Source organism: Homo sapiens, chromosome 18 (assembly GCF_000001405.40).
Source record: "Homo sapiens chromosome 18, GRCh38.p14 Primary Assembly".
Lineage (NCBI taxonomy): Eukaryota > Metazoa > Chordata > Mammalia > Primates > Hominidae > Homo > Homo sapiens.
The window spans coordinates 74553875-74575340 of record NC_000018.10 but is presented as its reverse complement, the minus strand read 5'-3'; the positions used below and the strand labels follow the sequence as shown (position 1 = coordinate 74575340).

At 47.1% G+C, this 21466-nt stretch overlaps 1 protein-coding gene across 1 annotated transcript in view; it reads right to left on the bottom strand.

The window, feature by feature from the left end:
• Positions 1 to 21466, bottom strand: part of CNDP1 (carnosine dipeptidase 1) — a 52713-nt gene that overhangs the window by 11872 nt on the left and 19375 nt on the right. Inside the window, exons 2-7 of the mRNA NM_032649.6 lie at positions 18875 to 19003; positions 15869 to 16018; positions 14323 to 14485; positions 13206 to 13294; positions 7908 to 8108; positions 4071 to 4155 (exon numbers count right to left, since the gene is read on the bottom strand). Of these exons, the coding sequence (NP_116038.4) occupies positions 4071 to 4155; positions 7908 to 8108; positions 13206 to 13294; positions 14323 to 14485; positions 15869 to 16018; positions 18875 to 19003 (817 nt within the window). The remainder of the gene's footprint in view (positions 1 to 4070; positions 4156 to 7907; positions 8109 to 13205; positions 13295 to 14322; positions 14486 to 15868; positions 16019 to 18874; positions 19004 to 21466) is intronic.

The window sequence follows — 21466 nt, the reverse complement described above, 5'->3', positions numbered from 1 at the left end:
GCAGAGTGCGTGCCTTCTAAGCACGCACTGTACCTCACTAGTAAAACGATCCAGGCCTCTGTTCTCGGCATCATTTTAAATTACAACTTTATTCTCTCAGTATACAAAGCAGCCTTCCCTATTGCTGGACTGGGAGAAGGAAGAGAAAGAGGATTTCCTCATTTACCTTTTCCTTCCTTCCTTCCTTCTCTTTCTTTCTTCTTTCTTTTTTCTTTCCTTCCTTCCTTTCTTTCCTTCTTTTTTCTTTCCTTCCTTCCTTTCTTTCCTTCCTTCTTTCTTCTTTCCTTTCTCTCCTTCCTTCCCTCCATCCCTCCCTTCCTTTCCTTCCCCTCCTTTCCTTCCTTTCTTCCTTTTCTCTGTTTCTTTCTTTCCTTTTTTTGAGACAGAGCTTGCTCTGCCACCCAGGCTGGAGTGCAGTGGCACAATTGTGGCCACTGCACCTGGCCTTCCTTTCCCTTTTAATATGCTTGCAGAAAAATCTGATTAGAGAGCTGTGGAGTACGGCTCAGTCACTTTGGCCCTGCCTGAAACGCCATCACAGGGAAAGGGGAGCCATTGATGTCTGTGCTATTCAGAAATAATGCTGCTTCACAGATCCCATTTTCCATATTTCTTTGCCCTAGTTCTTTAATATTGAAAGCATTTGAATGAAAATAGTATGCTTAAGAGTTCGCCCCCTCCCCTCCTGTTCATTTTCCTCTTGTAATCATGACGTGATGTCATTTCTGCAGTTACCACAGCCTTCTTGGGAAGTGCGGGGAAGGCAGAAGGTGCCTTTGAAAACTGCCCACAGGAAACAGAATCCTGCATGCCTAGCAGCCATCTTGGATTTGAACATTTTAAATAACATCACATATTTGCTGCTTATAAAAATGCCCTTGGTACAATGGCCTTTTCTGTTTTATGGCTTTTAGGGAAATGCAAAGAATAGGAAAGTGTCTGCAAAGGGAAACTACAGAAGGTTAGAGCTCGATTTGTAAACACAAGTATCCTCTTAGCAGCTCCTGCCTCCCCTGCATACTAAGCCCCTTTTCAGACAGGGAACTAACTTGGTTTTGCTTTGTACCTTAGTGGAGGTTATCATGCATTTCACAGAGCTGGCGCTCACTAGCGTTTATTGTCTGTTCATGATCACAGCAGAGACAGAGAGGTGAGGAGGCTTGCACAAGGCAAGGGCTGCCCGTGGATTCCCACATCCTGACTAGTGTGTATGCCTGCTTGTCAGCCTGCAGGAGTGGACACAGCACAGCCGACTCTCACCTGACATCAGGGGTCCCTGGAAGTCCGGGCATCTCCACTACAGCCCAGCCTGTCGGCAAGCAAAATTCCTGCTTGTCATCTCATAAACACTAAAGCTCAACACTATGTCCTTATGTTTTTGTACAAAACATATGAAAACCACATAGAGGACACAATCCAGAAATTACTGTGCTGTGGATTATTTGATTTGTATCAAGAACTAAAGAAAGTCAAACCACGTTTTTGACTTCATTCATGAGCCCGAGCCGACTCTTCCTTAGCAGAGCAATGTGCCTTTGTGGGGCTGCACGGAATCCGATGCCTGGCTGAAGCCACGCAGCCGAAAAAGATGCCATGCAGCAATCATGCTTGTGGGAAGAGCAAAATGTGCTCCTAAAGATTTCAGATGCAGTTCATAGGGAAGGAAACATTCATTCTGGTAAAACAGAAAATTAACCTCCACTCCCCAAAATTGTGAGTTGCATACCATCTGATTCTTCTGGAAACCATTTAAACTCTTTAAGGGAAAATGGCTGGGTGTATTCCGTCTGAATTGTCAAGCATGGGAAATATCATCCAAGAGCTATATTTCAGGAAAACTAGAAGGCCATAGAAGAATAGATAGATTAGATAGATAGATAGATAGATACATAGATACATAGATAGATAGTTGGATGGATGGATAGATGATAATGGGTGGATAGATGGATGGATGAATGGATAGAAAGATGATAGATGGATAGATAATGAATGGATGGATGGATAGAAAAATGATACATGGATAGATAATAGATGGATGAATGGATAGATGGATGGATGGATAGAAAGATGATAGATGGATAGATAATGGATGGATAGACAGATAGTTGGATGGATGGATGGATAGATGATAGGTAGATGGATAGATAGATAATGGATGGATAGATGCATAGAAAGATGATAGATGGATAGATAATAGATGGATGGATGGATAGTTGGATGGATGAATAGAAAGATAGATGGATAGATAATAGATGGATAGATGGATAGCTAGATAGATGGTAGAAATATAGGTAAATTTCATTATTCAGTTTGGGAGAATGAAGGAGAAAGCTGTGCAACTAAAAATGATGCTGAAGACCTTGAGAAGATCCTCCCAACACCTGGGCCATCTGGGCTGATTGTACCATGGCCTGGACTACTGAGGCCAAGGGAGTAAATGCTTTCTGGCAATTTGTCTGCCCAAAAGGGGCACATTATTAAACATTTTTTTTTTGCTTTTTCTATTATTTTTCTTTCTTTCTTTCTTTCTTTTTTTTTTTTTTTTTTTTTGATACAGGGTCTTGTTCTTTTGCCCAGGCTGCAGTACAGTGGCACGATTATCTCAGCTCACTGCAACCTCTGCCTTCCGGGCTCAAGCGACCCTCCTGCCTCAGCCCCTTAAATAGCTGGGACTACAGGCCTACACCATCATGCCTGGCTAACTTTTGTATTTTTTGTACAGACAGGGTTTCACCATGTTGCCCAGGCTGGTCTCAAAGTCCTGAGCTCAACTGATCCACCCACCTTGGCCTCCCAAAGTGCTGGGATTGCAGGCGTGAGTGACCATGCCTGGCCATGTTGTGAAATTTGCATAAAGGAGCTATACATGCCAAGTGGAGCACAGCGAGGTGTTGCAGGGTCTAAAGCATAGGTAATGTGTGAACCTCTTTTTTAAAAGAACACCAAATTATGAATATAAAATGATGAGTGTCCCTTCCAGGACTGTGGAAGGAGCTCCTGTAAGTGAGGCCCCTGGAGTTTAAACTTCCTTAGCTTCCCAGGGAACCCACTATGGGCAGCTCTGATGCCTAGAAGAGCTGTAGGTGAATTGAGCCTGAGCAAACAGGCTCCCCGAGAAAAACATACAACTTCCTCTTGCACACACCAGCAATCCATGGGAAATCAAGGACAGCACCAGGACAATCGGGGAACTCGTCGGCGTCGCTGTGCCACTCGGGGCCACAGCAACCTTGAAAAATGAAGCCAAGTGGTGCTGACATATTTGACACCATTTCTGGAGTCAGGCCAGGGCAGGCCATTACTCACTGATGGACATGCTGCATTCCAGCCACCGTGACAAGCGTTCTGCACACATCACCTTTTTGCATCCTAAAAGCAATACTAGGTGAACAGACGATTGTGCCCCTTTACAAATGAGAAACCAAAGACTAGAGAACTCAAGTAACTTACCAAGGTCGTACAGGTGGTCTGTGGCAGAGCAAGGACATACCTGGTCACCCACACCCAGAACCCACATGCTACAAGGTGCAGGCTGGTCTGCGGAAGGGCCAGTCTGTCGTGAAAAACAAGATGCTCTTGAGAAAGTGGGTGAAGGGCCTCACCTGGTGTGTCGCTTAGTTCCTTTCCCTTTTGATCATCCCTTTGTTGATTTATCTTCAGTCAAAAAGTCATGCCAGGTCTACTGAAGTTGAACTTGTGGTTCAGCTGCTTGGGAATACCACACCTCCACCCGGCCCGGCATTCTAGGAGCACCAGTAAGGGAGTCAGGGTGGCCTGTCAGTCTTTTGTATCCTTTGAGTCTCTGCCCTCTTGTCCTTAAGTATGGCTATGTGTCACAATGTCCAATAAAACAAAATGGATGAACTGAAGAAGAGTTTCAGTCCATGAAAAGAAATAATGCAGACTTACTTATAAGTGGAGGGAACAGTTTGCCAAGGGGAGGAAAATCTAAGCATCTACACCCTTGTTCAGAGCTGGTTCAGAAAGCAAGGAGAGGCACATAAAATCAAGTAGAGCTGTCTTTTAGTTGATCCCTGATGCTTAAAAAGTGAAACAAAATAAGGCATTACCGAGAAGAGCAACCAGATCAGCCATTGGTTCATGAAGGATGCCACCAAAGGTTCCTGAGTGAAAATCCTGGTCTCTGCATTTCACCTGCAGAGTAGATAAAAGGTAAGAGATATACTTCCTGCCTTGGTTCCTTTAGTGTAAGCATTTCACATGGTGAAATACATATCTGCGTGTGTCCCTCAGAACTCAGGTAGGCAACATCCAGACCTGACTTCACTTTCTGTGTTTCTCAGTCATGGGGACTGGATTTCCTACCTGCTGTCGATTGCTTCATTCCCACCATCTCTTGAATCCCCTGAAACTGACTCATTCCTCAGCTCTTCCACCAACTCTATTCTAGCCAAGATCACCAGGCTCTCCTTGGCCAAATGATTGATGTTTACACAGCTGTCTTCCTTTTGGTTTCATCCCATATTGTTGATCACTCCTCTTTCTGGAAAAATTCTCTTCCCTTGATTTCTGAGAAGCTTTCTTCTCTTTCTTCTTTTCTTACCTGCAGGACAATTCTATTGATACCTCCTGTAATAACATCTCTTCTTCCTCCACCTCTAAAGCTTAATACTTGGCTCATCCTTCCTCTACCTGAGCTTCAAGAGCTCACAGGATAGTGTCTATGTATATGGCACCCTTGACATAAGTGACTCCATCTTAGAAAAAGACTCCATCTTACTTTTCCTAAGGGACTTTGCCAACAGGGACTAGATGTTCTGCCTGATCAATAAAGACTGCTTCCAGCTGGATAAGGACATAGCCAAACACATTCTTCCACTATCAGTTCTTATCAGAGGACTTGGCAGTCATAAAACGACCAGGATGTCAGCAGCTCAAAACTTAACAGACACTGTCCTGCTGTCACTTGTGCTAAGCGCCCAGCATCTGCCACCAAAGGCTCTGCCCAGATCAAAGTCTCTTCCTTACAAGACCACTGGACCACCCGGGCCAAGCCAGGATTTCTTTTTGTCTACGTCACTCTCCCTGGACTGGTTCATTAACCTGTTTTCCTATCACTTTTCTTTTCTTTTTTTTTAATTATTTATTATTATTATTATTAATTATTATTATTATTATTTTGAGACAGAGTCTTGCTCTGTCACCCAGGCAGGAGTGCAGTGACATGATCTCAGCTCACTGCAATCTCCGCCTCCCAGCTTCAAGCAATTCTTCTGCCTCAGCCTCCCAAGTAGCTGGGACTACAGGTGCACGCCACCATGCCCAGCTTTTTTTTTTTTTTTTTTTGTATTTTCTTCATAAAGACAGGGTTTCACCATGTTGGGCAGGCTGGTCTTGAACTCCTGACTTCAGGTGATCCACCCGCCTCAGCCTCGCAAAGTGCTAGGATTACAGGCATGAGCCACTGTGCCCAGCTCCTTCTCTCTTGATGGTAAATGTTACTTTGTTTGTTGTGGAATGTTCAGTCTATAACATTCACATATTGGCTAGGTATACCACAATGTATGCTTTACAATACTGACTGCCTTGTGGAGTAGCTTGAGCCTGTGTGCCTGCGCTCTGACTTCTGAATGAATGGGAGGCACTAAGGAGAATTGCCTCCTTGGGAACTCCATGGAGCCCATGGCTTTTATTATTGAGATAGCATCAGTAAAAGCCTGACATTGTGGAATGACACAAACATGTGTGGACCTGGTTATCTCTGACCATGCGGTGCTCACGCTAATTTAAGGGCAGAGATGCTATTAATACAACCATGCCCTTCAATGTTCATCCCTGGAGGTCTGACCTTCTACTTAAACACCAGACCTAAAACTCTGGAATGCTTACGGTGCCTTCCACTTGAGCATGCTTCCAGTTTCCAAAACTCAGGAGATCTAGACCCAAACTCAATCTCTTCTGCAATTACTTCCTACCAGCATGATTTCTCCTATATACGCCATATCCAATCAATTACCAATTTCTACAGGTTGGGCTTTTTTGAAGTTGATTCTTCAGTTCATTCCCTCCCATCCTTCCTGCCCAGCTGGTCTTTCTCTGTTCCTCTTCATCTTCAATGTGGCACCAGAGCAATCTTCGGTATGGTCACTTTAGCATTAAGACTTTCCGTTCACTAGGCAATAATGCTAGCTAAATTACTCTGGAGTGTGGACGGTCTCACTTCGAAAGCTTGAGCTGGCTGTCTCACATTCTGATGACAGCTCCCCTTGTCCTCTCTTGTAACGTTGCTGTACCACCTGTTCTCGGTCTTCATTAAGACGTCAGTCCCTTGACCCTTCCAAGATGTCCCACATTGCCCTCCTGCCTTTGTTTTTTCCCCTGTTCAACCTGAATACCACCGTTGATCACCTCAGCCCCTCTGTGCTCAACACCTTGATGAGCTCTTCCCTACTTTCTCCACCACAACCCTCTGGGGTAACCTCAACCCCTGGGCCAGCCTTCTCTGTCCCTGGCCACTGAGCATGCTGCAGAAAGCCAGCAATTTGCATGGACAGATGACTCCAGACCTTACCACTGCCTGGCCCTTCTTCATCCTCCCATCCCTTCTCTTCCCCCTGTCCCAAAGTGACCACTTCAAGCCATCACTTCTCTGCAGATACACTCACTTCCTACTAAACAGAAAAAAATGGACGCTAAGAGGGAAAAAGCTCTAGGACTTGGAGCTCTCTACCTACCCAAAGCCCTCACAGAAGAGGTTATTTTCTTCCCCTGGGTCTGGAGCTCGCCCCCTCCCACCTCCTCAGTGCCTTCGTTCTCAAAAATTCTCCCCCTCCCTCCCAGGTCTCCAACTGCTCCCTCTGTCTATTGCCTCCCAAGGGCTTCCTCTAGCCATCATCCCAGCTGTCTCCCACTTTTCACAGCCATGTTTCTTGAAAGCGGGTTCTAGAGGACAGTCCCTGCTTCCTATTTTCTCTGTCACTCCCACATCTCTTTAGTATCTGTGTCTCACTAGAAGTAAACTTCCTGAGGGCAGAGACTATTTTATTCAGTCCTATACCCCTGGGACTTAGCATCCTCCTATCTGACAAATAGAAGGCACTCACTGTTTTTCACACGCATAGCCATGTGTGTTTCCGTGTATGTGCTGACATCTGAATCTCAAAACTGCCTAGGGATTGGATACAGCATGGATTATCAGCCTACACGTTGTTATATGAGAAAACAGATTGAAATGATGAAATAATTAGCTATTTACCCGGGAGGGACTTTCTATGTCTTATGCACTATCACAGATTGCCTGTATTACTAGAAAAAGAGAAAAGGGGAAGGAAACTGATTATGCGTCAAACCTCAACTAAAGGCTGCATGTAATGACACAGTCATCCTGGGAGGGGGCGTTATTGTACCATCTTTCAAGGTGGGAAACCAAGGCTCAAGGTGAAACCACCTGCACAAGGCTGGGCATGGTAGAAGCTAGGATTCAGATGCTGGCCTCGGGCGACACCAATGTTCCTTCTCTTTCCCTGTGACCACGGCACTGGGGTCTCCTGCCACTGTGGCCAGCAGGCCCACGCTGGGAGCAGGACACAGCACAGTTGCCCCTGCATTGATCGCGCAGTCTGCTTACCTCCCTGTGGCTGCCATACCTGCCTGCAAATCCCATGGCCAGAGTTTCCAAGCTTTGCTTTGTAAGTCACAAACCCCTGTGAATCCCCTCTCCAGAACAAGGTACATAGCCACATCCACTCCAAGTGTTGGGGGTTCATGACCTCCCCAAACCCCAAGACCTCTGCACCCACCCCACCTCCCCTGAGGCCGTGTGTCCCAGGTAAGGCCTCTGCCCTCAGGAAAGCTTTCTTTCTTCCTCTCCAAGATCCCAGAATGGATTGGTGCTCCCATTCACAACCCCCACAGGCCTCCATCCATGCACTGCTCTCTGTGGATACCTCCACCATGAAGTAGCTGTTCCCCCGGGTTCCGTAAGTGATTGCTGGCTTCCTTTGGCTGATCCACAGGTTATCTGAAATTACAATGTAGTCCACACCAGAGAAGAATCGGTCCTTTTCTTTTTCCACAAGTTCCTCCAGGGCAACAGAGCCAGCCTCTTCCATCCCCTCAATGATGAATTTGATATTCACAGGAAGATCCTAAGTAACAACAGAAGAAAAAAATTGCACAAGTTGCCTGATGTGGTTTGGCTGTGTCCCCACCAAATCTCAACTTGAATTGTATCTCCCAGAATTCCCACGTGTTGTGGAGGGACCCAGGGGGAGGTAATTGAATCATGGGGGCCAGTCTTTCCTGTGCTATTCTCGTGATAGTGAGTAAGTCTCATGAGATCTGATGGGTTTATCAGGGGTTTGCTTCTTCCGCATTTTCTCTTGCTGCCACCACCTAAGAAGTGCCTTTTGCCTCCTGTCGTGATTCTGAGGCCTCCCCAGCCATGTGGAACTGTAAGTCCTATTAAACCTCTTTTTCTTCCCAGTCTTGGGTATGTCTTTATCAACAGCATGAAAATGGACTAATACAGTAAATTGGTACCAGTAGAGTGGGTTGTTGCTGAAAAGATACCCAAAAATTTGGAAGCAACTTTGGAACTGGGTAACAGGCAGAGACTGGAACAGTCTGAAGGGCTCAGAAGAAGACACAAAAATGTGGAAAGTTTGGAACTTCCTAGAGACTTATTGAATGGCTTTGCCCAAAATGCTGATAGCAATATGGACAATAAAATCCAGGCTGAGGTGGCCTCAGGTAGAGATGTGGAACTTTTTTGGAACTGGAGAAAAGGTGACTCTTGTTTTGTTTTAGCAAAGAGACTCATGGCATTTTGCCCCTGCCCCAGAGATTTGTGGAACTTTGAACTTGAGAGAGATGATTTAGGGTATCTGGTAAAAGAAATGTCAAAGCAACAAAGCATTCAAGAGGTGACTTGGGTACTGTTAAAGGGATTCAGTTTTTAAAGGGAAACAGACCTTAAGAGTTCAGAAAATTTGCAGCCTGACTATGTGATAGAAAAGAAAAACCCATTTTCTGGGGAGAAATTCAAGCCAGCTGCAGAAATTTGCATAAGTAGTAAGGAGCCTAATGTTAATCCCCAAGACCACTGGGAAAATGTCTCCAGGTCATGTCAGAGACCTTCACGGCAGCCCCACCCATCACAGGCCTGGAGGCCCAGGAGGAGAAAATGGTTTCATGGGCCAGGCCCAGGGTCCCTGTATTGTGTACAGCCTAGAGACTTGGTGCCCTGTGTGCCAGCTTCCCCAGCTGTAGCTAAAAGGGGCCAATGTACAGCTCGGGCTGTGGCTTCAGAGGGTGGAAGCCCCAAGCCCTGGCAGCTTCCATGTGGTGTTGAGCCTGCGGGTGCACAGAAGTCAAGAATTGAGGTGTGGGAACCTCTAACTAGATTTCAGAAAATGTATGGAAATGCTTGGATGCCCAGGCAAAAGTTTGCTGCAGAGGTGGGACCCTCATGGAGAGCCTCTGCTAGGGCAGTGTGGAAGGGAAATGTGGCGTTGGAACCCCCACATGAAGTCCCTAGTGGGGCACTCCCTAGTGGAGCTGTGAGAAGAGGGCCACTGTCCTCCAGACCCCAGAATGGTAGATCCACTGACAGCTTGAACCGTGCACCTGGAAAAACCGCAGACACTCAATGCCAGCCCATGAAAGCAGCCAGGAGGGAGGCTGTACCCTGCAAAGCCACAGGGGCAGAGCCACCCGAGACCATGGGAACCCACCTCTAGCATCAGTGTAACCTGGACATGAGACCTGGATTCAAAGGAGATAATTTTGGAGCTTTAAAGTTTGACCCCTGGATTTCAGACTTGCATGGACACTGTAACCCCTTTGTTTTGGCCAATTTCTCCCATTTGGAACAGCTATATTTACCCAACACCTGTACTGACATTGTATCTAGGAAGTAACTAGCTTGCTTTTGATTTTACAGGCTCATAGGTGGAAGGGACTTGCCTTGTCTCAGATGAGACTTTGGACTGTGGACTTTCAGGTTAATGCTGAAATGAGTTAAGACTTTGGGGGACTATTGGGAAATTATGGCTGGTTTTGAAATGTGAGGACATGAGATTTGGAGGGGCCAGGGGTGGAATGATATGGTTTGGCTGTATCCCCACCAAATCTCAACTTGAACTGTAGCTCCCAGAATTCCTACATGTTGTGGGAGGGACCCACGGGGAGGTAATTGAATCATGGAGGCAGGTCTTTCCCATGCTATTCTCGTGATAGTGAATAAGTCTCATGAGATCTAATGGGTTTATCAGGGGTTTCAGCTTTTGCTTTTTCCTCATTTACTCTTGCTGCTGCCATGTAAGAAGTGGCTTTTGCCTCCTGCCATGATTCTGAGGCCTCCTAAGCCATATGGAACTGTAAGTCCAATTAAACCTCTTTTTCTTCCCAGTCTCAGGTATGCCTTTATCAGCAGCATGAAAACGGACTAATACATTGCCCATTCACCTTTGAAGATCCACTATTTGTTTGCATATAACATAAACACATGAAATTATTATTTACCTTCAATGTATGAATTTGCATTCCCCACAGTTCTGTTACAGCAATGGAGTTGTAACTACGATTGTGAAGGAGAATTCAAGGTAATGCTCGGTGTGTGCCCTCCAACATGTCCTGCCAATTTAATGCTATGATCAAGAATTGGGGAAAGGAGCAGCTACAGAAAAGCAAATTCTATACTACAGAGCTTGCCTGTGTGGCTACAGAGGGAGGCATTTTTCTCCTTCTCCCCAAAAGGAATTTTTCAAGAAAGGTTAGGCAATTACAAATCGCTTTTCTGTCCTCATAATTCTGAGCATGAAAAAGGAGAACATTTTCCTTTGAAAGATTGTTAAGCCTCGGGATAATTTTTACTTCAAGTAGCTGTTATTTTTCAGCTATGATTTCAATCTGCCTTTTAACTTATTCAAAGGCTTTGATCTTGCAGCAAAATGGAACTTGAGTTTTTTTCTAGTTAATATTAGGGCATGGACTAGCTCCTTTAAAATTTTTACAACATGCTTCTTCCCCCATTTGGTTTTGATCTTTTTATATCTTTATAATTTATAACTTCATATCTTTGAGAACCACATTAAGAGGAGAGGTCAAAGTCTTTTCCTAGAGCACAGGATGCATGCAGAACTCTAAAAGTGATTACAAGCAGATAAACGACACCGCACACACTGTAATCAGTTCTAATAAGTGGGCTTGACTCACCACAGATTAACAAATGCAACATGAGCACGGGATTATGTATGAGAGAATAATAAGTTATGTGGTAATTAAAATGAGAAAATTAGAAAATCAGTCATTCAGTTGGATAAGAGCTTTTGGGGGATAGTAATTTGTTCCTATGTTATCCCTTGTGTTTCTGTGTGTCTTAGGAAGTCCATCTGAAGTTCTGAAATCTTAATATCTGAAGGTTCTGTGTGAACATTGAACTAGCAAACAATTGCTGAGGAGTAGTTGGAAATCCTAAGAATTTTCTGGCAAGTCATGTTTAATAAAATACAAACCCATAGCACTCAGTGTGCAGGCCGCATGCATTAGCAGCTGGGTCTGCCAAGCCTCCCCTTGGCAGTTTACTGCTCTACCTGTGAAATATGGATATTAGTGCTCACTCTGCCTCCTAGAAAATAACCCAGGGAGGGAATGTGTCCTAAGAGCTCTGTAGGCAAGGCAGGCAGAGAAGAAGGGAGGGAGGGAGGAAGAAAGGAACACTCTCGAAGGACCTCGCGCACCATCCCCCATGGAGATGTTTCTTCACTGAATCCCTGCGAGCTTGTGAGGTAGAAACTATCATTCCTGCTTCACAGATGAGGCAAGTCAGGCTCAGAGATTAACTGACTTGTCCAGGGCAGTGAATATTTCTTCTGTTTTCTTTGTGATTATGTAATTTTCAGAGTTGAAATTTAAAAAGCAAAACAGATTTTGGCCTTTTTATCAGAACAATCTTATAAATATTGCTATCCCTTAGAAGGAGAGATAGAGGAAGAAAGAGAAGGAGAGGGAGAGAGAAAGAAAGGAGAGAGGGAGACAGAGATAGAAACCAAGGCCACATCGAATGCTCAGGGCGTATGTGATGCGAGCTTCAGGGATAAGAAGACACCTTTGCAGTGGTCAGCAGGAGCCCGCTGAGACCTGTGCTGATTTCCTGAGGTGTCTTCTGTGAGACTCAGGAGTGAAGTCAGAGTACTTAACTCCCCTCCCATCTGCTTATGTCTCAGGAGAAAATAAACTTCTGAGAGGGAAGCCCCTGGCACCTGATGAAATAACCTTCAGGAAAAGACACCCCAGAAGCCCAGGTCTGCTCTGCAGGACAGGGTGCCAGGGAGGCCCCTCAGCCCTCAGAGCCTTGCAGCCTTGGACAGGGCTGAGGCGGCGTCCAGGACAGGGGAGATGAAACCAGACCCCAGGGCTGACCTGGAGGAGTGCACACATTTTCACAGAACAGATTCCGAGGCCCAGAGAGGTCAAGTTGCTTGCCCAAGGCCACACAGCTAGATCCAATCCTCTGCTGGTGTCTAAGCACATTCATCAGGAGAGGGGAGAAGAGTGGCTTGAGATAAAACCATCCTTGTGTTGAAACACGAGAGAGTTAAAGGTGCAAACCTGGGTCCACCAACAATGTCCTCTGGAGGCCGGAAAGAGGGGACCCACCTCCTCAAATATGTACCCCTGCCTCTGCTCCAGAGCCCTTATTTGGACTTCTAAAGAGAGCCACTGTGCTCTCAGGGAAGAGATCCAAGGATTCCTGCAGAATGTCATGGAGATTCCTATCTTGATCATTTGCAAAGTAGCTGATACATTTTAAAAATGTGTGTGTGTCTCTACTAACAAATCATACTTTGTGATAAGAAGAAAAAGAAGGCTTAAAAAGACAAGATAAGATAAAATAAGGATTAAAGAAAAAAAGACCAGTCCCATCAGATAGCAGCTTGGCCACAGGCTTGTTGTGTCTTTGGCTGTGTCTTGTTTTTTAACATGGTTAACAGTGCAGGCTGGAATCCATCCTCGAAGTATCAGCCTTGCCACCAGCTTCACTGCTCTGGGTAAGTTCTCTGACCTTCCCAAGACTTACTGTCCTTATCTGCAAAATGGATACCATTGTCGCACACACCTCCAAAGATTGTTGGGGCGAGTAAGTGACCTAAGGCAGTTTGCTCAGAACACAGCAAACAACTCAAAGAAAGTTGTCGTTACCATCCTCCTCCTCCTCTCTCCCAAACACAGCTGCCACCTACTTGCTCCAGGGCTCTGAAGGCGCTCACAGCATTGATCCAAGCCAAGACAGGGCCTTTGTTGTCGGTCGCTCCTCGTCCATAAAGTTTCCCTTTAAAAAGGGGAGAAGAATGTTCAGAGAAGTGTGGACACCTCTGCCATGTGAGTTAAAAACCAATGTCGTTTCATGGGTACTGATGTTAACAGTGCTTTCTATAATAATATTGCAGGCTCAAATCTTGCATGAAATTGCAAAGTATGATTTCTTATGTACAAATAAGACTGTACATAAGAGATCCTTGGATCTCTTCCCTGACAAATAGTACAGTCATCAGCTAGTCAGATAAGATAAGCTAATTTGCAATACAGATCCCATTGTCCTTAATAATAATTAGCTATTTTATCCAAGTTCACCGGAGAGACCCACCGGGGATTTGTTGCAGAGTGCCACGTGGCATAGCCTCTCATTTGGGGATTTTACAGTTAGTAGAAGAATGAAAAAAAGATGTGTGTATATCTCTATTAACCTTTCTTCTTTTTCTTTATAAAAGGCGAATTACATTTGATACTGTTCAAAACGAAAGTGTGTGGCCTAGACAACTGTTTTCCTCACAACTCAAGAACCTCCATCCAGGGACACAAAAGTTTACCGTTTTTTTCACAAATGAAAGAAAACCAGCCTCAGTGAACCGATCGGTAGACTTTGAGAGCCGCCTCTCTGTGCATTCTTTTTTTTTTTTTTTTGATGAAGTCTCACTCCGTCACCCAAGCAGAATGGAGTGCAGTGGTGTGATCTCAGCTCACTGCAACCTCCGCCTCCCAGGTTCAAGCAATTCTGCCTTGGTCTCCCAAGTAGCTGGGATTACAGGCGCCCACGACCATGCCCAGCTATTTTTTTGTATTTTTAGTAGAGAGAGGGTTTTGCCATGTTGGCCAGGCTGGTCTTGAACTCCTGATCTCAAATGATCCACCCACCTTGGCTTCCCAAAGTGCTGGGATTACAAGCGTGAGCCACCGCACCCGGCCTATGCATTCTTAATGACAGGGAGAGACCCAAAACCCAGGGACAGAGCCTCATCTTCACCCCTTCAATCTTGCAAGCACAGCAGCACCGCACTGTAGCCCGGGCGCCTCACTGACCGTCTACCTCCGTCAGCACATAGGGGTCCGTGAGCCACCCATCGCCCCGGTCAGCAGGCTGCACGTCCAAGTGGCCGTAGAAGCACACGGTGCCTTTCGTGGGATCGCTCCCCAGTTCGGCCAGGATGACGGGAGGTATTGGAAGACTCTGACCATCGGGCAGCTGCAGAATGATCAGGAATCACATTTTCAAAAATGCTGTGTTGTTCTTCCAGAAAATTCAAAGACATGACATTGGGAGTCTTGTTTGACATTGGGAGAAACTGAGCATCAGTTTCTCCATCTCTAAAATGAGTCCCATGAAACACTTTTTTTTTCTTTTTTCTTTTCTTTTGGAGACAGGTCTCACTCCTGTCGCCCAGGCTGGAGCGCAGTGGCACACTCCCAGGCTCAAGTGATTCTCCCATCTCAGCCTCCTCATAAGTAGCTGAGACTACAGACGTGCACCACCATGTCCGGCTACCTTTTTGTATTTTTGGTAGAGATAGGTTTGCCATGTTGCCCAGGCTGACCAGCTGGGCAGGCTCAACTAATCCGCCCGCCTTAGCCTCCTAAAGTGCTAGGATTTCAAGTGTGAGATGCCACACCCAGCCAAGACACTTTTAATTAAGATATAAAACCTAATCAAAAGTAAAGTGCTTCTTTAGATCCACACTGACAATTAGCATCATTAGCTGAATGTCCTCTTCAGCAAGAATGCAGACGGGCCGGGCACGGTGGCTCATGCCTGTAATCCCAGCACTTTGGGAAGCCAAGGCGGGTGGATCACGAGGTCAGGAGTTGAAGACCAGCCTGGCCAATATGGTGAAACCCTGTGTCTAATAAAAATACAAAGATTAGCTGGGTGTGGTGGTGCACGCCTGAAATCCCAGCTACTCGGGAGGCTGAGGCAGGAGAATTGCTTGAACTGGGACCTGGGAGGCGGAGGTTGCAGTGAGCTGAGATTGCACCACTGCACTCCAGCCTGGGCTACAGAGCAAGACTCTGTCTCAAAAAAAAAAAAAAAAAGAATGCAGATGACAACTGGCTTAAATTAGGTGGACAAATCCTAGAAAACATGGATGATCCTGAGGTTCCTCAGTGCTAAAGTAAGCGCAGCGGGTGCTTAGATTTAAGACATTCATGATGGAGTAGAGTTCTAAGAGATGGTTCTGATGAAAAAAATGCAGCTCCAGATACAACCCCTTTGAGAAAGATGCATATGAATTTAAAGAAAAGGACAATTTCCTTTTCCTTAAAGGAGAAATTTGAACTTTGTGTCCAGGAAATGAAAAGTACAAGGGGGTCCTTTCCATGATAAGGTGACCTTCACTTGTCATCTGCACTGGCTTCTAAGAGCCAACCCCTCCCCAGAGTCCTGACAAGACTGGAAAGCAATAACACGGCTTCATTTGAGACCAGGGGAATGTTTCATCTTCATTGGGAATTGGGGTTATGGGGGGTTGTGGTTGAGGATCAGGGTGAGCCTCTCCCTTGCCACCCCCGGGAAGGCATGACTGACGTCTAGAAGTAGCACCTCCCTCAGTGGGAGGGAATCGTACAGCACCTGCTGAGGACCCATGTCCACCGAGGCCACACGGGCCCCCAGGCGCTGCAGCGTGTCCGCAGCCACGGCCATCATTCTGAAGAGCTCTTGTCTGAAGCGAGGCACAGGCTGGACAGAGTCGCTCTCGATGGCCACCCACTCCTTCAGCGTCTAGGAGGAAGAGCAAGCAGGCCATTAGCATTGGGGTCCCACATCTGCTCTGCGGGGGGAGCGAAGGGAGGGCAGGAGACAGCGAGTCCCCAGGTACTTTTCTGTTGATCAAGGACCTGAGGACCTATGACAGTGCCAGTGAACACTGTGACATTTAAGAGTAACAGACAGAAGAGCTGGGGATTTAATCAGGAACCCAGAAGCCAGAGGCGCCTGGTTAGTATAGAAGGTCAGGCAGGACGGGCTGGGAGAAAGGTGATGGTCTGGGTCCTCACTGCGTTCACCAGGGCTGTACAGGAGGGCAAGTCCCCACCCACTGTTTCTAATTATTAAGAACTGAGGAGCTGGTGGGTTCTCAGCTTTCTCCAGGACTCCTGGCTTCCCACACCTGGTCCTGGAAGCCTCCAAGCCGTGACTGAACCCCACAGGGGCCTCTGCTGGGCTGCAGGTCCCTCCTAACATGCTCTGCATTTAGATTCCCTGGCCTGCCCCTCCCTGTGCCTCTAGGATCCCACAGGCACTGTGACCTCGGGCTTAAACTCAGCCTGTCATAGCTATGTGACTTTGGATGTATTCCTTAACCTCCCTTAGCCTGAGTTTTCTCATCTGCATGAGAAAGTAATGCTCCCAGCCGGGTGCGGTGGCTCACACCTGTAATCCCAGCACTTTGGGAGGCACAGGTGGGCAGATCACGAGGTCAGCAGATCCAGACCATCCTGGCTAACGTGGTGAAACCCCATCTCTACTAAAAACACAAAAAATTAGCCAGGTGTGGTGGTGGGCGCCTGTAGTCCCAGCTACTTGGGAGGCTGAGGCAGGAGAATGGCGTGAACCTGGGAGGCGGAGCTTGCAGTGTGCCAAGATCGTGCCACTGCACTCCAGTCTGGGTGACAGAGCAAGACTCCATCTCAAAAAAAAAAAAAAAAAAAAGAAAAAGAAAGTAATGCTCCCTAACTATAGGGTGATGGTGAGGACCACTGAGGTAACGTGTGCACAGTGCCCAGCACCTGGCAGCCACTCCAGCAGCGCTGGCTGGTATGAATGACTGATAAGAACCACTCACATGCCTGTGTTGGAACCTGAGTGGCTCATACTGAGACAATCAGCATTTTTATGAAAAACTACACAGATTTACTGATCTTGGACTTCTCTTCCTGACTTATTTGAGTTTGATCTCTCTATTCTGGTTGTAGAGCTTTTATTTTTATTATGAAGGCATTTATCTAACCCTTAGGAATATTGTGTTTGACATTTTTAAACTGGAATTTACAGAGCAGAGACTGCTGGCTTCTCCATAAGTTCAGTGGATTTGGGTATGTTTGAGGGACTTAGGAAGAGATGTTTTGGCTGAAAGGCCTAAACCAGGATTAAATCCCCACCACACACTGATTCTGGAAACCCCACTCAGGTTTCAAAAATCCAAGAGGCATTGATGCCTAGTTAATATTTCAGTAAGAAGAAGGATTGCATGAAGGTCAGATTTAGGAACAGTAGGCTGGGCATTCAGCCTCGTGCCTTTAGCCTAATTGCATAATATTCCCAAAATTGGTTGATTGATCCAATAAATGTATACTGAATGCCTGTCCTGTGCCAGACATGATGTGGGGGGCTTGGGGTACAAAGTCCAGGGAGACCTCAAGGAGCTCCCCGTCTGGTGAACACAGACAACAACACATCAGTGTGCACATGTGTGGGGGTGTGTGGGGATACATATATGGGGGTGTGTAGGGATGGGACCGGATGGCCACAGAGGGGACAAGAGAGCCTAGGAGAGTGGGGGTGGGGAGGAGCTGGTGAGTCTGTGGGCTCCGGCAAGCTCCTGCTCTCCCATGCCTCCTCCTGTCTCCTCCTGCTCCCCAGGCCTCCCTCTTTTTGCCATTCCTCCTCATCCTCCCTCTACTTTACCCCCACTCCCAACCTGTATATGTATAGACCCTGTATAGTGAATTAGGGGTAAAGCAGAGGATTATAAACTTGGGAGGCTGAGGCAGAAGGATCACTTGAACCCAGGAGGTCGAGGCCGCAGTGAGCTGTGTTTGTGCCACTGCACTCCAGCCTGGGTGACAGAGCAAGACCCTGTCTCAAAAAATAACAGAAAAAAAGAGGGCCAGGCATGGTGGCTCACACCTGCAATCCCAGCACTTTGGGAGGCCGAGGCAGGAAGATCACTTGAGGTCAGGAGTTCAAAATCAGCCTGCCCATCATGGGGAAATCCCGTCTCTACTGAAAAAATACAAAAATTAGCCAGGTGTGTTGGCAGGTGCCTGTAATCCCAGCTACTTGGGAGGCTGAGGCTGAGGCAGGAGAATCACCTGAACCTGGGAAGTTGAGGTTAGCCGAGGTCTCACCACTGCACTCAAGCCTGGGTGACAGAGCGAGACTCTGTCTCAAAACAAATAAATAAATTGAATGAATGAATGAATGAAGGAGATAAAGTGCCTGTTGCACACATGCTACAAAACAAACAACGCTGCTGTTGAACTTTGCAGAGCTCCCTGGCTCCCCAGCTCTGCCCAGGCCTTACAATAACGTCAGGTGGCATTAGGAATGGGCGACCTGATGGACCAGGGCAGACTTGAGCTCAGCGGAGGTGCTGGTCATCTCTGTGTGGACATCCCTGGACCAAGTGTGCTGGATATGAAGACCCAGTGCCCTTTACAGGAGGAATGGCTAGGAGGGATCTCGTCCATCTGTCTAATGAATACTGAAGATTTTTAACCCAATGAGCAGTCATAGGCATTTTAAATGGAATTAGGCAAAAAAATCCACATCTCCAAGCAAATAATTGTCTCACCCAAATACCAAAGGATATAATCCAAGCATTCTGTGTGTAGTTGTGTAGTTTCTTTCTCCTACCTGCACAAATTCATCCTGATGGAGGTCAATGTACTGGAAGACTTTCTCTAACAGCGCCGGGGGCGGGGAGGGTGAGGAGAACATGCCGCGCTCCAGCAGCAGCAGCAGCACAGCCAGCAGGGACGCAGCCTGGAAGGGTTTGACATGGGAGGAACGAATGAAAATCAATGCCAGTTGCTGGACTTCGGACCTTCCAAATTCCTCAAGAAGGTCTGTTACCTCACACAGCTGCCTCCAGTCAGTCGGAATAAAATAACACAAGGCGGTAGAACCAAACATGTATTTTTTGCTACGTCCTTCCCCAAACACTTTATTTCCAATGCTAAAGAATTTTAATAAGACAAAAACCAAGTTAACAAGCTCATCTTTAAATAACATCATTCCGTTTATTCCTAGGATAAGGTGTTTCCTCCTGGCCCCTTGGGGAGGCCCAGTTCTGCTGCCCAGGAGTGAAGGGTGATCTTTACAAGAGAGAAAAGAGTAAGGTAGAACCAAAAACAAACACGCAAAAATCTTCCATGTGTGATGAACTGCTCTATTAGACAAAAGAATTTCTGAGCAATGCCTAAAATCCAGTGTTGTGGGGTTTCTTTCCACTGGCTCCTGAAATCACAGTACTTTAACAGGAAAGGAAGAAAAACGTCTGAGGTGGTGGTTCATGCCTGTAATCCCAGTACTTTGGGAGGTCGAGGTGGGCGGATCACTTGAGGTCAGGAGTTGAAGACCAGCCTGGCCAACATGGTGCAACCCCATCTCTGAGAGACCCAACCACAACCCTGTCTCCTCCCTCCTCTCCCCTCCCTGACCCCTTCTCAGTCTCCCCAGCCCGTCCACCTCTGGGATGACTCCACCTGGGTGTCCTTGGGAGCCTAAGAGCCAGCATTCCTCCTTGACCCCTGACAGGAAGGTCCTGTGGCAAAGTGGGCAAGGTCACCCCTTCACAGAGGCCCCCCAGAGCCCTGTCTGGAGTGGGAGCTGCCAGCATCAGACCCAGGGGCCACCTGCACATCTGGAGGGGCCATCAGCAACATCTCCCCCAGTGCAGCCCGAGCCATCAGAGGCGGGCTGGAGAAGAGGAGGGAGGGAGCGAGGGCTGGGAAGGGCCAAGGGGGCTGCAGCCCTTGGTCAGACCGCCTACGTCAGGTTCTTGGCTAGGAAAGCCACCAGCTATCCCCAGGAGACCAGCTGGGCTCCACTTTAGAAGCCAAACCCACCCTCCTGCAGCAGGAGGAAGGAGGGGAGAGTTTAACCCAGCCTGTCTCTGTTATTTTTGTCTCTGGAATCCCATCTTTTATTGTTTTAAATGTTTGAGATGTTTTACGTTATCAAATTCTGACTTGTTTAATCTATGATTCTTCAAATGCCCACCTTTCCGTAGGTGGAGGTGAGCAGGGGTTGCGGGGAGAACAAGGGGAACTAGGCTGGTGAAGTCTCAGTGCCATCCCCGAGACCTTGAGAGAGAGATGTGCTCAAGAGCATCCTTGAGAGGACGCTCATCATGGGTGTGGCCCCGCCGATGTTGCTTATTTTACAATGGAGCATCTGCAAGGCTGTTTGAAAAGCAGTTGGTTGAATATTTCACTTTTCATTCTGTCATTTTCATGGCTTCCTCTAATCCACCCTCCACAAAGCAGCCTGGGTGATCTTTTTAAAGGTGGGGCAGATCGCAAGACTCCCTGTTTTAACTCTTCCAAGAGGTCCCATTGCCCTTGGGGTAAAGCAAATATCCCCATGGCTCCCAGGTCTTACATGGTGGAGCCCACCTGCTTCTCCCACCAGACCTCCTCCCTTGTTGGGGTACCATGCAGGGCCCCTCCATCACTTCCCATGTGTTCCCAAATGCATTGCTGAATCTTCCTCCATGCTCCTGCCCATCCCTTGGCCTCAAGCCCCCATAGAGTGAAGGTGAGCTGGGGAGCATCCAAACTGACGAGCCCCCCAACACATTGCACAGTGCATCTGAAATGAATTTGTGCACAGGGAGCTGTGTTCTGTCTCTTCTAGGAATTCACTTCCAACAAAACATCTGGTCCTACTGAAAATGTCCCAGACGGCAATAAAGAGTGCATCTCCCTAACCAGAGTGTCACTCAGCACCTGGGGTCAATCCATCCCATGCCCAAAAGGAAAGCCACTCCCAGGCTGTTCTACCTTCTGTCAGATCAGCACTGAAATGCTACAGGGATGTTCAGGCTTCAAGAACTTTTCAGCTAGGATTCAGCTGGCATAAAATCTGAGTGACCACAGAGAACCTGTGTTCACAAAACAAAGTGGCAGAGTGAGAGTCAATGCTGGAAGAGGGCATGTGGATAAAGCAGTGCAGTCGGGGTGGCATCACGGGGAGACCACAGGCCTAATAGTCAGGAGGGCCAACACCAAGTTCAGCCCTGCCAGATCCCAGCTGTACTCCTTCGGGTACCTCTCTGAGCCTGAATTTCCTCAGCTGTCATCAGGGACTGGGAGCCTCACAGTGGCCGAGGACCCAACCAAAGAGCTATAGAAAAATGTGTGGCTCTGAGAGGACAGAGAGCTCACCAGCTGTCAGGAAAGCAGTAAGATGTGCCATGAAACGCAGACCATGTCCCATCATGGG